At 59.3% G+C, this 14,709-nt stretch overlaps 1 protein-coding gene and 1 long non-coding RNA gene across 2 annotated transcripts, besides 7 other annotated features; one reads left to right on the top strand and one right to left on the bottom strand.

Annotated features, from left to right (window-relative positions):
- Positions 5,418 to 13,195, bottom strand: LOC105378586 (uncharacterized). The gene is made up of 3 exons (NR_147951.1): positions 13,012 to 13,195; positions 11,922 to 11,971; positions 5,418 to 5,755 (listed from the first exon to the last, which is right to left on the bottom strand). It is a non-coding gene; the product is annotated as an uncharacterized LOC105378586 (long non-coding RNA).
- Positions 10,861 to 11,003: a silencer, noted in NCBI's record as "fragment chr1:1537005-1537147 (GRCh37/hg19 assembly coordinates)". NCBI's record gives its function as "represses an EF-1alpha promoter that drives an FKBP-Casp9 reporter gene in an ReSE screen in HepG2 liver carcinoma cells {active_cell/tissue: HepG2}" and the evidence as "EXISTENCE:reporter gene assay evidence [ECO:0000049][PMID:32094911]".
- Positions 11,360 to 12,019: an enhancer, noted in NCBI's record as "H3K27ac-H3K4me1 hESC enhancer chr1:1535989-1536648 (GRCh37/hg19 assembly coordinates)". NCBI's record gives its function as "activates a minimal SCP1, AML or CMV promoter by ChIP-STARR-seq in naive H9 embryonic stem cells {active_cell/tissue: H9 hESC(naive)}" and the evidence as "EXISTENCE:reporter gene assay evidence [ECO:0000049][PMID:30033119]".
- Positions 12,020 to 12,679: an enhancer, noted in NCBI's record as "H3K27ac-H3K4me1 hESC enhancer chr1:1535329-1535988 (GRCh37/hg19 assembly coordinates)". NCBI's record gives its function as "activates a minimal SCP1, AML or CMV promoter by ChIP-STARR-seq in naive H9 embryonic stem cells {active_cell/tissue: H9 hESC(naive)}" and the evidence as "EXISTENCE:reporter gene assay evidence [ECO:0000049][PMID:30033119]".
- Positions 12,417 to 12,466: a silencer, noted in NCBI's record as "silent region_82". NCBI's record gives its function as "represses an Ori minimal core promoter by ATAC-STARR-seq in GM12878 lymphoblastoid cells {active_cell/tissue: GM12878}" and the evidence as "EXISTENCE:reporter gene assay evidence [ECO:0000049][PMID:35858748]".
- FNDC10 (fibronectin type III domain containing 10) lies at positions 12,493 to 14,616 on the top strand. The gene has a single exon (NM_001242659.2). The coding sequence runs from the start codon at positions 12,613 to 12,615 to the stop codon at positions 13,291 to 13,293; it is 681 nt and encodes a 226-aa protein (NP_001229588.1). The 5' UTR covers positions 12,493 to 12,612; the 3' UTR covers positions 13,294 to 14,616.
- Positions 12,680 to 13,339: an enhancer, noted in NCBI's record as "H3K27ac-H3K4me1 hESC enhancer chr1:1534669-1535328 (GRCh37/hg19 assembly coordinates)". NCBI's record gives its function as "activates a minimal SCP1, AML or CMV promoter by ChIP-STARR-seq in naive H9 embryonic stem cells {active_cell/tissue: H9 hESC(naive)}" and the evidence as "EXISTENCE:reporter gene assay evidence [ECO:0000049][PMID:30033119]".
- Positions 12,767 to 12,886: a silencer, noted in NCBI's record as "silent region_81". NCBI's record gives its function as "represses an Ori minimal core promoter by ATAC-STARR-seq in GM12878 lymphoblastoid cells {active_cell/tissue: GM12878}" and the evidence as "EXISTENCE:reporter gene assay evidence [ECO:0000049][PMID:35858748]".
- Positions 13,340 to 13,998: an enhancer, noted in NCBI's record as "H3K27ac-H3K4me1 hESC enhancer chr1:1534010-1534668 (GRCh37/hg19 assembly coordinates)". NCBI's record gives its function as "activates a minimal SCP1, AML or CMV promoter by ChIP-STARR-seq in naive H9 embryonic stem cells {active_cell/tissue: H9 hESC(naive)}" and the evidence as "EXISTENCE:reporter gene assay evidence [ECO:0000049][PMID:30033119]".
- Positions 14,617 to 14,709: the final 93 nt, after the last annotated feature.

Here is a 14,709-nt window from a genome sequence, read left to right as displayed (position 1 = left end):
CCAAGATCTGGCCACTGCACTCCAGCCTGGGTGACAGAGTGAGACTCCGTCTCAAAAACAAAAAAAACAAAAAAAAAAAAAGAAAAGAAAAAGAAAAAACAAAAGTGCTGGGATGTGAGCCACCACACCCAGCCAGCCCTCCACCAACTGAACAGATTCCCTTTTGACCAAGGGGACCCCAGAGAAATTTTTAAAACTGAGTTTCCAGCCGGGTGGATCCGCCTATAACCTATAAGCCCCCACTTCAAGATATCCCACCTTTTTAGGCCAAACCAACGTATACCTTCTATGTATGTATTTATGTCTTTGCTTATAACTCCTGCCTTTCTAAAGTGTACAAAACCAAACTAAACCGACCACTTCAGAACCACTTACTGAAGGCTTCTCGGATGTGTGTTTTCCTGGGGCCCACAGTCATTCATATTGGCTCAAAGTAAACCTTTTGAAAGTATTTTGTGAAGCTGGACATGGTGGCTCATGCCTGTAATCCCAGCCCTCTGGGAGGCTGAGGTGATTGGACCACTTGAGCCCAGGATTTAGAGACCATCCTGGGCAACATGTTGAAATCCCATCTCTACAAAATATACAAAACTTAGCTGGGTGTGGTGGCACGTGCCTATGGTTCCAGCTACTCTGGGGGCTGCGGTGGGAGGATCGTTTGAGCCTGGGAAACGGAGGCTGCAGTGAGCTGAGATCGCACCACTGCACTCTAACCTGGGCAACAGAATGAAGCCCTCTTTAAAAAAAAGAAGAGCCCGGGCGTGGTGGCTCACGCCTGTAATCCCAGCAGTTTGGGAGGCCGAGGCGGGCGGATCAGGAGGTCAGGAGTTCGAGACCAGCCTGAGGAACGTGGTGAAACCCCGTCTCTTACTAAAAACACAAAAATTACCTGGGCGTGGTGGCACACGCCTATAATCCCAGCTACTCAGGAGGCTGAGGCAGGAGAATCACTTGAATCCGGGACGCAGAGGCTGCAGTGAGCCAAGATTGCGCTGTTGCACTCCAGTCTGGGCAGCGAGAGCAAAACTCTGTCTCCAAAAAAAAAAAAAAAAAAAAAGAAGGAGGAAAGAATGTCTTATTCAGAGTTTGGCTTTTCTGTTAACAGCTGTTTCCTGGAATCTGCGTCCTCCTCCTTCTGGCTTTACTCCTTTACTTTGCTGAAGTAAGACCCCTAGTAACTTCCTGGGGAGGGCCCATGTCTGGACAGTTGCTTATTCTACTGGAAGGTTCACCAGAGCCCCTGCTTTCTCTCTGTGTCCTGCCTGAGAAGCACAGAGCCTGGCCCACTGCATGCTTTCCCTGCAGTCTTGAAGCCCGGCCAGGACCTTGAGTATTCTCAGTTACTGATGAACTAGGTTGTTGTCTGAAACACTGAGAGATCAAACATGTTGCTAAATATGTGGAAACAAGAGTCACATTTCTTAAATCCTCCTGTAAAACTCTCCACTCTAGCCCCTGGGTGCAGGCATTCCTAGGTGGAACCTCTCCATCTCTTGCTGTCAGCCCGAGGATGTGCTGCCTCCCTCTGTACATAAATTCCCCGAACAAATGCTTTGGGCCGATCACCCTGGCGTTTAGTGCTTCTTTTCTTTGGGACCAACCAGCCCCACCTCAGGATGGTTTGAGGCAGTCCCTTGTTGGAACTTGCCTGCTGCCACTTTTGGGGTGATTCTAGCTGTGGGCTGGAGGGATGAAACAGCAGCGTCGGCAGGATTCCAAAGAAATGGGCCGAGGGAACCAGAAGCAATGGGGAGACCCCCGGATGGCCACAAGATCCCTGCAGCCTGCTTGCTTCACGCCATCTCCTTGTACAGCAGCCTTAGGATTAAAACTCTCTTTCTGCTGCAACCCGTGGTGTTGGCGCAGTGACATTCCATGCATCAGGAAATGGGCCCGCTATGGCCACAACAGCAGAGAGATGACTCTCCAAAGAGTTTCTCCAGGAATGACGGGGAATTGCAGTTTGGGATATGCGTGCTATGGCAGACCACAGGCACATCCAGAGAGGCTGGGACAGGGGAAGCTTCTAAAAAAACAGAAAGGAGAAGCCCACCTAAGCTGCTTTGAAGCAAAGAGCATAGGTGACGGGGACTTTGTGTTAGTCCATTCTCACGGTCTTACGAAGAACTGCCTGAGACTGGGTAATTTATAAAGGAAAGAGGTTTACCTGACCCACAGTTCCACGTGGCTCAAGAAACTTAACAATCACAGCAGAAGGGGAAGTAAACACATCCTTCACCTGGCTGCAGGAGAGAAACCTGCTGAGCAAAGGGGAAAAGCTCCTTATAAAACTACCAGATGTCCTGAGAACTCACTGTCACGAGAACAGCATGGGGGTAACTGGCCCCATGATTCAATTACCTCCCACCAGGTCCCTCCCACAACACGTGGGGATTGTGGGAAATGCAAGATGAGATTTGGATGGGGACACAGCCAAACTGTATCAGGCTTGTTGCAGGAGTTGGCATTCATCTGGAGGTGAAGACGGCCCTTGTCAGGCAAGCGTCCTCGTGCAGGCAGCTTAGCGGCAGTACTGTGGTTTTGAGAAATTCCGTAGTTTCTTTCCTGGCACACCTGGGAGAGCCCGTCCTTCGTGGCCTCCTGGCTCCATTTTTCAGGGTTTGACATAAGTGACTCCATTTTGGTACTGGCCACTTTTGCACTGGAGATCCACAGATAATGTCTTCCAGGCTGAGGTCTGTCACTCCCACAGGTGCACGGCTGAGCTAACTGCCACGTGTGTGGCCTTAGGCCCCTCAGCAGCCAGGACAATATGTTTTTTCTTTTTTCTTTTCTTTTTTTTTTTTTGAGACAGAGTTTCCTTCTTGTTGCCCAGGTGGGATTGCAGTAGCGCAATCTTGTCTCACTACAACCTCCACCTCCTGGGTTCAAGTGATTCTCCCGCCTCAGCCTCCCGAGTAGTTGGGACTACAGGCGTGCATCACCACAACCAGCTAATTTTTGGATTTACTATTAATACAGATGGGGTTTCACCATGTTGGCCAGGCTGGTCTTGAACTCCTGACCTCAAGTGATCCACCTGCCTCGGCCTCCCTAAGTGCTGAGATTACAGACGTGAGCCACCGCACCTGGCCGGTACCTTTTTTTTTTTTTTTTTGAGACAGAGTCTCACTGTGTTGCCCAGGCTGGAGTGCAGTGGCACTATCTTGGCTCACTGCAACCTCCGCCTCCCAGGTTCAAGTGATTCTTCTGCCTCAGCCTCCAGAGTAACTGGGACTACAGACGCGTGCCAGCACGCCTGGCTAATTTTTGAGTTTTTGCAGTAGAGACGGGATTTCACCATGTTGGCCAGGCTGGTCTTGAACTCCTGACCTCAAGTGATACACCCACCTTGGCCTCCAATAGTGCTGGGATTACAGGCGTGAGCCACTGCGTCCGGCCGGTACCTACTTTTTTTTTTTTTTTTTTTTGAGACAGAGTCTCGCTCTGTCACTCAGGCTAGAGTGCAGTGGCACGATCTCGGCTCACTGTAAGCTCCGCCTCCTGGGTTCATGCCATTCTCCTGCCTCAGCCTCCTGAGTAGCTGGGACTACAGGCGCCCGCCACCACGCCCAGCTAATTTTTTTGTGTATTTTTTGTAGAGACGGGGTTTCACCATGTTAGCCAGGCTGGTCTTGATCTCCTGACCTCATGATCTGCCCGCCTCGGCCTCCCAAAGTCTTGGGATTACAGGCATGAGCCACCGTGCCCGGCCGCAGTTACCTACTTTTATAACATATTTGTGGACCAGATTTGGCCCCTGAATGAAAATCAAATGATTAAGGAAATCAATGACTATTTTCAGCAATATGGTAAGTCAGGTCACCTGCAAGATCTTCTCAATGAAACAATAAAAGATCTGTATAATGTGTTTTATTGGTATTATTATTATTATTTTTGAGACAGGGTCTCACTCTGTTGCCCAGGTTGGAGTACAGAGGCGCAATCATGGCTCACTGCAACCTTGACCTCCCGGGCTCAAGTGATTCTCCTTCCTCAGCCTCCTGAGTAGCTGGGATTACAGGCTCGTGCCACCACATCCAGCTAATTTTTTTTTGGTACATTTTGTAGAGACAGGGGTCTCGCTGTGCTGCCCAGACTAGTCTCCAACTCCTGACATCAAGCAATCTGCCTGCCTCAGCCTCCCAAAGTGCAGGAATTACAGGCATGAGCTGCCGCGCCCGGCCTATTTTTTAATTATTTTTTAGAGATGGGGATCTTGCTCTGTTCCCCAGGCTGGAGTGCAGGGGTGCAATCATAGCTCACTGCAGCCTCAAACTCCTAGGCTCAAGGGGTCCTCCCGCCTCAGCCTCCCAAGTAGTTGGGACTACGGGTGTGAGCCACTGTGCCTGGCAAACAATCTGTATAAAATATGGAAAGCACAGGAGGCTGAGGCAGGAGAATGACTTGAACCCGGAAGGCAGAGGTTGCAGTGAGCCAAGATTGCACCACTGCACTCCAGCCTGGGTGACAGAGCAAGACTCCATCTAAAAAAAAATACATATATATATAATTATATATATTATACATACATTATATATAATACATATTATATATATACATATATAATATATAGTACATATATTATATATATATATGGAAAGCATTGTTTAAAATCCATGACTGAGCTGACACACAGTAAGGAAGGGAAGAGCGGCCTTGAAACAGAAAACCTGGAGCACAGGAAGAGGAGGCCCGAGGGGAGTGCACGTCAGGCTTGGACTCATGGAGGGATCCGTATTCTCTCCCATCTCTCCATCTGGCAGGGCATCGACATTTTTGACTAACTGTGTGACCCGTGAGTGAATTCTGCATGTTGATGCATTCAGCATGCATTGTGGCTGTGCTTTGCAGAGGTGCCGGGGACACAGCAAGATGCCACAGGGAGCAGAGATGGGAAGCGATGCCAGCCACACGTGCTCAGGAAGGCCCAGGAGGCACTGGTGTGGACAGAGACAGAGACTCAGCTCTGCTTAAGAAGGAAATCAAGGCCGGGCACGGTGGCTCACGCCTGTAATCCCAGCACTTTGGGAGGCTGAGGTGGGCGGATCATCTGAGGTCAGGAGTTCAAGACCAGCCTGGCTAACATGGTGAAACCCCGTCTCTACTACAAATACAAAATTAGCCAGGCGTGGTGGCAGGCGCCTGTAATCCCAGCTACTTGGGAGGCTGAGGCAGGAGAATCACTTGAACCCAGGAGGCGGAGGCTGTAGTGAGCCGAGATCACGCCATTGCACTCCAGTCTAGGCAACAGAGTGAGACTCTCAAAAAAAAAAAAAAAAAAAAGGAAATCAACAACATCATGACAGTTAGTGTAACTTTGCACCAAAGGAGAAGGGGAAGTCCCAGAACTTTCTTCCGGCTTCACAAAGAAGTCGCACACAGGCCTTTCAGGAGAGAGGCCACACTGGAAATGTTCAGGACAGGACATTGCCAGTGGCAGAGACCGCTCCGAGTGCCAGAGTTAGCACGTGGCAGGTCCCACCTCAGAAGTCCAGCTGTGTAGAAAGCTCCTTTCAGCAAAGGACAGGCCCAAGCATAGTTTAACAACATCAGAAAAGACAGCAAGACGGGCTCCTCCGAATTCTCTGCTCCAGGTGGAGGGGGACCCTGTGAGTGCGCTTGGTGACCCCTGTGGAGATGCGGACAGCAGGGGCCACTCACTGTCCTCCAGCAGCTGGTCACTAAGTAGGCTGGAGGCTGGAAGTTCCTGTTAACCTTCTAGAAAGGTGGGCCTCCCTGAACTGGCAGGTTCCTGAAAAGAAAATAATGTTTTAAGAAAAAGAAAAAAAATAGACAGGCCTGCAGAGCTTAAGCACACCGAAGATTAGGGAACAGGTGGAGTAGAGCTTTTCCAAAGAGAACAGGATATGGTACCTGTGGTGGAAAAGAGGACATAATGACACGTGCAGCGGGAACGGGAGCACCACGGACATTCTGACGCCGTGGTGGAGCCTGCTGGAGCAGCCAGCGGGCAGGGGCCAGGCTGACCCCACGCCTGACCAGCCCAGCCCACGCCTGACCAGCCCGCCCCACGCCTGACCAGCCCGCCCCACGCCTGACCAGCCGGCCCCATGCCTGACCAGCCCAGCCCACGCCTGACCAGCCCAGCCCAGCCCACGCCTGACCAGCCCACCCCACACCTGACCAGCCCAGCTCACCGCACACCTGACCAGCCCAGCCCACCGCACACCTGACCAGCCCAGCCCATACCTGACCAGCCCAGCCCACACCTGACCAGCCTGTCCCACACCTGACCAGCCCGTCCCACACCTGACCAGCCCACCCCACACCTGACCAGCCCAGCCCACACCTGACCAGCCGACCCCACACCTGACCAGCCTAGCCCAGCCCACACCTGACCAGCCGACCCCACACCTGACCAGCCCAGCCCACACCTGACCAGCCCACTCCACACCTGACCAGACAACCCCTCACCTCACCACCCCACTCCACACCTGACCAGCCCAGCCCACACCTGACCAGCCCAGCCCACGCCTGACCAGCCCACCCCACGCCTGACCAGCCCAGCCCACGCCTGACCAGCCGACCCCTCACCTGACCAGCCCAGCCCACATCTGACCAGCCCAGCCCACGCCTGACCAGCCCAGCCCACGCCTGACCAGTCCAGCCCACGCCTGAGCAGCCCAGCCCACGCCTGACCAGCCGACCCCTCACCTGACCAGCCGACCCCACGCCTGACCAGCCCACCCCACGCCTGACCAGCCCAGTCCACACCAGACCAGCCCAGCCCAGCCCACGCCTGACCAGCCCGCCCCACGCCTGACCAGCCCAGCCCACGCCTGACCATCCGACCCCACACCTGACCAGCCCAGCCCACACCTGACCAGCCCAGCCCACCGCACACCTGACCAGCCCAGCCCACACCTGACCAGCCCAGCCCACACCTGACCAGCCCACCCCACACCTGACCAGCCCAGCCCACACCTGACCAGCCGACCCCACACCTGACCAGCCCAGCCCAGCCCACACCTGACCAGCCGACCCCACACCTGACCAGCCCAGCCCACACCTGACCAGCCCACTCCACACCTGACCAGACAACCCCTCACCTCACCACCCCACCTCACACCTGACCAGCCCAGCCCACACCTGACCAGCCCACTCCACACCTGACCAGACAATCCCTCACCTCACCACCCCACCCCACGCCTGACCACCCCACCCCACGCCTGACCAGCCCAGCCCACGCCTGACCAGCCCACTCCGCGCCTGGCCAGCCCACCCTAGTCCAGCCAGCTGACCCTGTGCTGAGCAGCGTGGCCCAGTCCTCGTCCTGCCTTCCCCACGGGCCCCGGTTGTCACTGGCTCCATATGGGGTCTTCGTAGGAGAGCAGAAACAGACAGAACCGGGGTGAGCTTCACATGTGCCTTCTCGCTGATCCTCGGAAACAAGCAGATTCTACTTTGCTCACCACTCTTTCTGCTCACTTTGATGCATTTTAGGCAAAAGCTGCCATCTTGCCAAGGCTCAGCCTCCTGGGCGCTGGGAGGGCAGGAGGATGGCAAGCCCCTGGGGGGAATACAGGGCACCTGCAGGTCCCTCCACTTCCAGGTTCCCTCCACAGGGTCTTGGGTCAGCAGAAGCCCCTCGGTGGGACCTGACTCTACTTCCTGGCCTCATGGGCCCTCTGAGCCTCAGTTTTCCTCTCTGCACCAGGGGACAGCCAGTGGTCAGTGGCCCTTTGGGCCTGACTGCTGCCACTCACCTGCCGACTCGCTGCCTGTCTGTACTAGAGGTCAGGTAGTCAAGGGGCGGGTTCCAGGTTAGGCTCATTTCCTACGTGACCTGGTCACCAAGAGGCATAGCTCCTTTCCTAAGTGCAAAGTATCTGAGCACCTGAGGGTCCGCCGTGAGCCCGAGGGTCCACTATGAGTGCTAAGGGTCTGCTGTGAGGGCCTGAGGGTCCACTCTGAGCCCCGAGGGTCCACCGTGAGCCCTGAGGGTCCACTGTGCTCCAGTCCACTTGGGTCTAATGGAACCACTGGACCTGGAGAAACTGCCCAACCCCCATTGCTCAGAACTGGGTGGCCTGGGCTTCCTCAGGGGGACCCTGGAAGCCGGGGCTGCTGCATCCCTGCTCTACCAGGGAGAAAACAGAGGCCTGGGTGGTGGGGCCGTGGCTTCCGGTCTGCTGACCACCTGCCCTAGAAACATGCTTCAAAACGCTGCAGGCCAGGCTCATGCCAGTAATCCCAGCACTTTGGGAGGCCGAGGCAGGAAAATCACTTGAGGCCAGGAGTGTGTGACCAGCCTGGGCAACGCAAGAGACTCTGCCTCTACAAAAAAAAAAAAAAAAAAAAAAAAAAAAAGAAGCAAAGGAAAGAAGGGAAAGAAAGGGCCCAAAGGATCGGGGGTTAGTTGGATGAAGGCTCTGGCAGGCACAAGCTCAGCTCTGGGGTACCTGTCAGTCTCACGGTAACAAGCAGCCAGCACTGCAGGAAACGGGCAGCTGCTGGGAAAGAGTCCGCTCCACCTTCCCTGAAGGCCCTGGAGGATGGGGCTCCTCCCAGCTCTTGCAGCCACCAAGCCCTGGGCCTGGGGTCTGTGGGGCCCCTCAGCTTCACCCCTCCACTGGCGACGCCACTGTGGATGCTCTTGGGATGGGACCCAGGAAGTCACCTCCTCCCCCAGCTCGGGCCACAGAGATGCCCGGGCCAAGGTGTCATCTGCTTCAGTGGTTGGGCTGAGGCACCTGCAGGGACTGGGACCCCATCCTGCGAGAGCCCAGGGAGACTGAGGATAGCACTTGAGAAAGTCACCCCAGAGAGGGGCTTTCAGGTTCTGATCCCACTGAGGTCAGTATTTGGCCCGGGCTCCGAGCCCAGGATCTGGTGAGAATGGGGCACTCCTACCCAGCACCAGCGGAGAAGCAGTGAGGGTGGGGGGCACCCACCTCTCCACCAGGGGCTCTGTCCCCTCCCTGGAATTTTGGAGGCATGACCAGAAGTTGTGAAGGGCTCACAGGGGCACATTTCTGGAAGAGAAAGCGGTCACTGCTGCTGGAGAAATGGGAGACCCACAGGGGCAGGAAAGGGTGGCTCCCGGGAGCCCTAAGGGACACGTGTGCCAGGATGCTGACACTGGCACCCAGCTCCCAGGGTAAAGGGGCTGCGGGTCGTGAGGGCCATGAGAAGCGGGTGGCTGCTGCCCTGGAGCTCTCATTCTTACAGCTCCTAAGCATCGGAGCCATTCCCCAGGTCCCCAGGGACCCACATGCTCAAGTCCCAGCAGACCCCGTGCCAGCTGCAAGGTTCCCTCAAGGCCATGGCCAGCAGGACACCTCGTCTCTGGAAGCTCCCCCGCCCCCATGTCTCCACTAATGCTGGAGACTTCCATCGTTACTGGTCCAGCCTTCCCCTGCCAGGCAAAAGCATTTCCAACCTGTCCTGGAGCTGGGGCAGTTGGAGAGAAGAGGGGTTCCCAGAGGGCGGCCTGCCTAGAGGGCCGGCAGCTTCCCTGCTACAGTGAGGACTGAGCCCTGGCCAGGGCTGCCCACGAGCCCCCGTGGCCCAGTCACCTGTGTGGGGAGATCAGGAGTGGCTGGGTGGGACCTCTGAGGGGTCCCCTGGACAGACACCCCTCCGGGGGCAGAAGTAGGGTCTCAGAGGACAGGGGAAGCACTCATCAAGCAGGGACCCCGTGGGTGGGGCTCAAGCTGTGGCAGAGGATGGGCCAACCTGGGGAGCAGAGGGACAGCATTTCAGAGACCGTCTGATGCTTCCAAGCAAGACAAGAAGCTGAAAACGTCTGATAGTTATTTTTCTGACACTTTCTATTTATGGAAGTGATACTTACTATTCACGATCATGGTCTGCTTTTAGAAAGCACTCTAGGTGAAAAAGTGAACTCATTCAAAGAAAACATTTAGTGACTGTCAGAATGCTGGTGTGTGTACAAACAGCATTGGAGACGGCGCTCCAGGTGGGGAAGCGTGTGCGCGTGAAAGGCCACCGCTGCTCAAGTGCAGGTGCTAAGCAGAGGTCACTCCCTCCCTCTCCTCCTCACCCCTCCCTGTCCCCTTCCCTCCTTCCTTCCTTAGGGTTGGCCCCAGCTGGACTTCGCAATATCTGGGTCCCCATGGCTCAGCAGGAGGCCGCGGGAAACAATGTTTTCCTCTCGCAGGCTCGGTTTCTGCCACTCTGCTAGCAGCCCGAGGCTCCACTCTTTTCTCTGCTGGTCTCTCTTCCCTCACCACTGGCCTCTCACCAGGAGCTCAGTCCCAGAACTACGTCTGCAACCACAGTCCCTAGCTAGAGGCCCGATGCAAGGCAGGCAGGACCATCTTCATAGGGGTCTGCAGGGTCTGCAGCCACGACACGCCGGGACCCTGGGTTGCAATGGTCAGAAACCCTGTGTTTCGGTGTTGACAATGACTTTGCAGTCCAGGAGGTGGCTGGCTTCAGGTGAGGCTGGATCCAGATGCTGGAAGCAGCTGGGCCGGGCTGGCGTCCTACCTCTCCCAAGGCTGGCTTCATTCTCCCGTTCTTCCCACCACCCACCTTCAGGGCCACAGCAGCTGGAATCCAACACCTGTCAGGGGCAGTCGCCCCCTCACATGAGCTTCAGCAAAGGCCTCGAGGCTAAGGGGTCCAGTCTGGCTGGCCGCGCCCAGGTCATCTGCCAACTCCTAGGCAGGGGAGTGTCAGCCCCACCCAAGCTCCCCATGACCTGAGGATGGATAAAGGGGGCTGCCCAGAGGGAAATGCAGGTGCTGCTACAAGAAGCTGGAATGGTCATGGCACAGGGTGAAGGCCCCAGCTGTCCTCAGGCCAACATGCCAAGATAGTTGGGGGCCGCCCCACCCCATATACCATCATCCAGGCTCCTGCCCTGCCCCACTGCCCATGCCCTCACACCTGGGGGCTGAGGGGCTTCCACTGGGAACTGGTGGCAGTAGGTCGGCTGAACCCCTGGGGAGTTCTGGGCAAGGACATGGGGGTCCCCTGAGTCACCATCACTCTCTGCTTCCCTGGGGCAGCCCCTGAGTCGCCTCACAACGCTGGGGCAAGAGTCAGAGCCCAGGGTTTGCCCTTCCTAAGCAGAGGTGGGAGCTGGGGGCAGGGGGCAGGGAGCGCCTCTCCCAAGGTCTCTGCCCCCAACCTCTCTGCGCCAGGTGCAGAGGCCTCAGCAGACCCTGCCAGGGGCCCAACAGGCTGGTGTAGGGGGTCAGGGCCCTCCATGCCGGGGACGGAGGTGCACCGTGACCACAGTTGGTGGGGGCCTGACCGCTGGGCCGGGGCTCTGGCAGAGCCCCTGAGATCCTGTGGGGTCCTGACCACTGCACTGGGTTTTTCAAGATGACCAGGAATTCGTGAGGCTGGGTGGTGACTCCGTGGGGGGGCGGAGACATGGCCATCCAGAGGTCGGGGACCAAGGACACCGTGAGCAGAATAGCCAGTCTCTCCTCACTCTGCCCCCAGGCAAGGAGAGCACAGGAAGGGGTTGCAGGAACTCATGGTCCAGTTGCCAGAGAGCCCCCCACAACCCCTGCAGACCCAGAGCTGGCTCAGCGGAGGTGCCAGCCCAGCCTTAGGTGCGAGGCTTGGCCTCCTTTCCAGTTAGGGCAGGCCGGCCAGGCCCGGCCACGTCTGCATACACAGTCCCTGGCTGTAGTCCTGGCCCTGGAGGGGTGTCCTGGTTGCTGGGTGATCTATGCAGGGACGGGAATGAGGGGCAGGGGTCTTGGGGTGTGTCCCGCCTTCCCCTCCCCCGTCGGTGCCACCTACTCAGTGCACCGGGTGGGCTTTTTGGATTCCCTTTGTCCAGCCCTGACCTCCCCACAGCCATCGGGAGGGCCCCCCAGAGCGCATCTGGAGGAGGAGGGGGCGCAATGAGGCAGGGAAGGTCGGCGCCCTGCAGCTGCCTCCGCTGCGTGTGGAGCGAAGGGAGTTCTCACCTTGCGAAGTCTCATCTGTCAGGCTTTCCTCCGGGTGGGCGCTGTCCGTCCTGAAAGGAACAGAAGCCGCGGGGTGAAGGAAAGTCTCCGTGCTGGTCCCCACCCCATCGGTATGGGCAGGTACCCTGACTGCGCGGGTCCCCGCCGCGGGTCCAGGGCGGCCAGCGTTGGGGTGCAAGGCCCGGGGTCCTGCGCGTGCCAGACCGCTGCGCCCCCATCGTAAAGCACGAAGTCCCCGACTGGTGTGGCCACGGGCGGTCGCGGAGCTGCACGACGCGAAACGAAGCCGGCCACAGCCCGTGAGTTTCGGCTCGGAAAAGCCGCAGGGGTCCAAGGTGCGCTCACTAGGCGGGAAGCCGGGAGAGCGGCGGCCCTGCCCGCACCCCGCGCCCCTGCCCGCACCCCAGCCCCACCGGCACTCCGGCCGCCTCGCTGCGTCCCCCTCCTCCCCCCCACCCCCGATCCCCCGCACCCGTAGGCCGCGGCCCGGCGAGGGTTAAGGGGGGCGGGGCGAGGGGCGGCCCCGCCTCCGCCGCCGCGCCGGGTCCGAGCGCGCACGGGGCGCGGGGGCGGGTCGGAGCGGGCGGCGGCGGAGGGCGCGGCGCGCCGGGGATCGCGGGGAGCGGGCAGCGGGGACGGCGGCGGCGCGGCCCGCGTGACCCAGCGCCGCGCCCCGTGGCCCCGCCGCAGGATGCGCGCCCCGCCGCTGCTGCTGCTGCTGGCCGCCTGCGCGCCGCCGCCCTGCGCCGCGGCCGCCCCGACGCCGCCGGGCTGGGAGCCGACCCCCGACGCGCCCTGGTGCCCCTACAAGGTGCTGCCCGAGGGCCCCGAGGCGGGCGGCGGGCGCCTGTGCTTCCGCAGCCCCGCGCGCGGCTTCCGCTGCCAGGCTCCGGGCTGCGTGCTGCACGCCCCGGCCGGCCGCTCCCTGCGCGCCAGCGTCCTGCGCAACCGCAGCGTCCTCCTGCAGTGGCGCCTGGCCCCGGCCGCCGCGCGCCGCGTGCGCGCCTTCGCGCTCAACTGCTCGTGGCGCGGCGCCTACACGCGCTTCCCGTGCGAGCGCGTGCTCCTCGGGGCCTCCTGCCGCGACTACCTGCTGCCCGACGTGCACGACAGCGTCCTCTACCGCCTGTGCCTGCAGCCGCTGCCGCTGCGCGCTGGGCCCGCCGCCGCCGCGCCAGAGACCCCCGAGCCGGCCGAGTGCGTGGAGTTCACCGCCGAGCCGGCCGGCATGCAGGACATCGTGGTGGCCATGACGGCGGTGGGCGGCTCCATCTGCGTCATGCTGGTGGTCATCTGCCTGCTGGTGGCCTACATCACCGAGAACCTCATGCGCCCGGCCCTCGCGCGCCCCGGCCTGCGCAGACACCCCTGAAGCGCGAGGCCGCCCGCCCATCTTTGCGCCACCTGCCTGAGGGCGCCTGAGCTCCCAGGTCCTCCGCCCGCTCTCCTCTCCTCATTCCTGCTGCCTCCTTAAGATCCCCGCGGAGGAGGACCTGCCGGCGACGGCTCCGGCACTTTGGCATCATCACACGCCCTTTCCAGCCGGGCGTCAGACTCCCAGACTCTGGCCCCGGATTGGCCCCTGGGCTTGCGCTGCTGTGCCAGCCGCATCCAGGGCTCTCCCCGCTCTCCGCAGGCCTTTATAGAGGCGGCCAGGGCATGGAGCCCCTTCCAGCAAGAGCCATGGGCACTCCGGCTCACCCCGCACCTCCATCCTGTGCCGAATTGTCCCAGACAGACCGTCGCCATTGCTCGGTCACTGTGCTTTGCAGGCCTGGGGCGCAGCTCTCCAAGCCTGTCCTGCCCCGCCCCACCCCACTGGGCTTAGGTTAGCTTCGTGCCTTAGTATCTCGGGCCCACTGCAGGAGCCAACACCCTCTGCTGTCCAGGGGGGGTCTGTGGCCCTAAGATTGGCCGGCCTCTCCATGCATCTGGCCAGCGTCCCCTTGGAGACACCTTCACCCTCAAGCGCTGCAGAAGCATGAGGTGAGGGCCTGCAGCGCTCTGTACCGTTTAGGGTGTTGGACCAGCCGGGAGCCTGGCAGGCCTGGCCCAGCGGCCAGGGTGAGTGTTCTCAGACCCCGGGCAGCTGGTGGTTCTCCAGGGCCAGGTACCCCTTTTGTGTGTGCGACCTCTGACTAGGTCCCTGTGGGAATGGGGCAGATGGCGGCCATCACCACTGGGTCCCAGGGCAGAAGCTTAGATACCGGCCTTGAGCAGCCCGACCTTCCACCGCTGCCTGGATCCCAAGCCTCAGCCGACCCAGGGGACCTTGGTGGCAACGGTGTGACTGACAGCACCACCCCTAGCCTTTGCATGCCCAGGGGTCGAGAGCCAGTATCCGGCCCAGACAATGCCACCCGCCATGGAAGAAAAGCTGACCCTGCCCACCTGCTGCAGACCCGGGCCCCGGGCCGAGGTTGCTTTCTGTGACGACCGCCTGGTGACGCTGGACACCAGGAGGGTTATGGCACTGCCCTCCCCTCCTGGAGCCCCTGGCACTGACCACCTGGACTTGACCTGACTCCTGGTCACTGGCCAAACACCCATCCTCACCCCAGCCACCCCGGGCCCTGGCTGGTGCCGTGTGACACCTGTAGCCCACCTGTGTGTCTTTGCTCCGCCCACCCCTGCGTGGCGCCGGTCAGGCGCAAACCTGGCGCCAGTGTCTAAATGTCCATCATTCTCAGACCAACAGAGCTGTCTGTGTGTTATTTGGGAGGTGGGAGGGAAGGAAAAGGTGGATTCCCCTTCTCCCCACATCCCCTGGGACCCTTGGGTATGGGCT

Source organism: Homo sapiens, chromosome 1 (assembly GCF_000001405.40).
Source record: "Homo sapiens chromosome 1, GRCh38.p14 Primary Assembly".
Lineage (NCBI taxonomy): Eukaryota > Metazoa > Chordata > Mammalia > Primates > Hominidae > Homo > Homo sapiens.
Note: the sequence above shows the minus strand (reverse complement) of the source record. Positions and strands in the feature narration are given on the sequence as shown.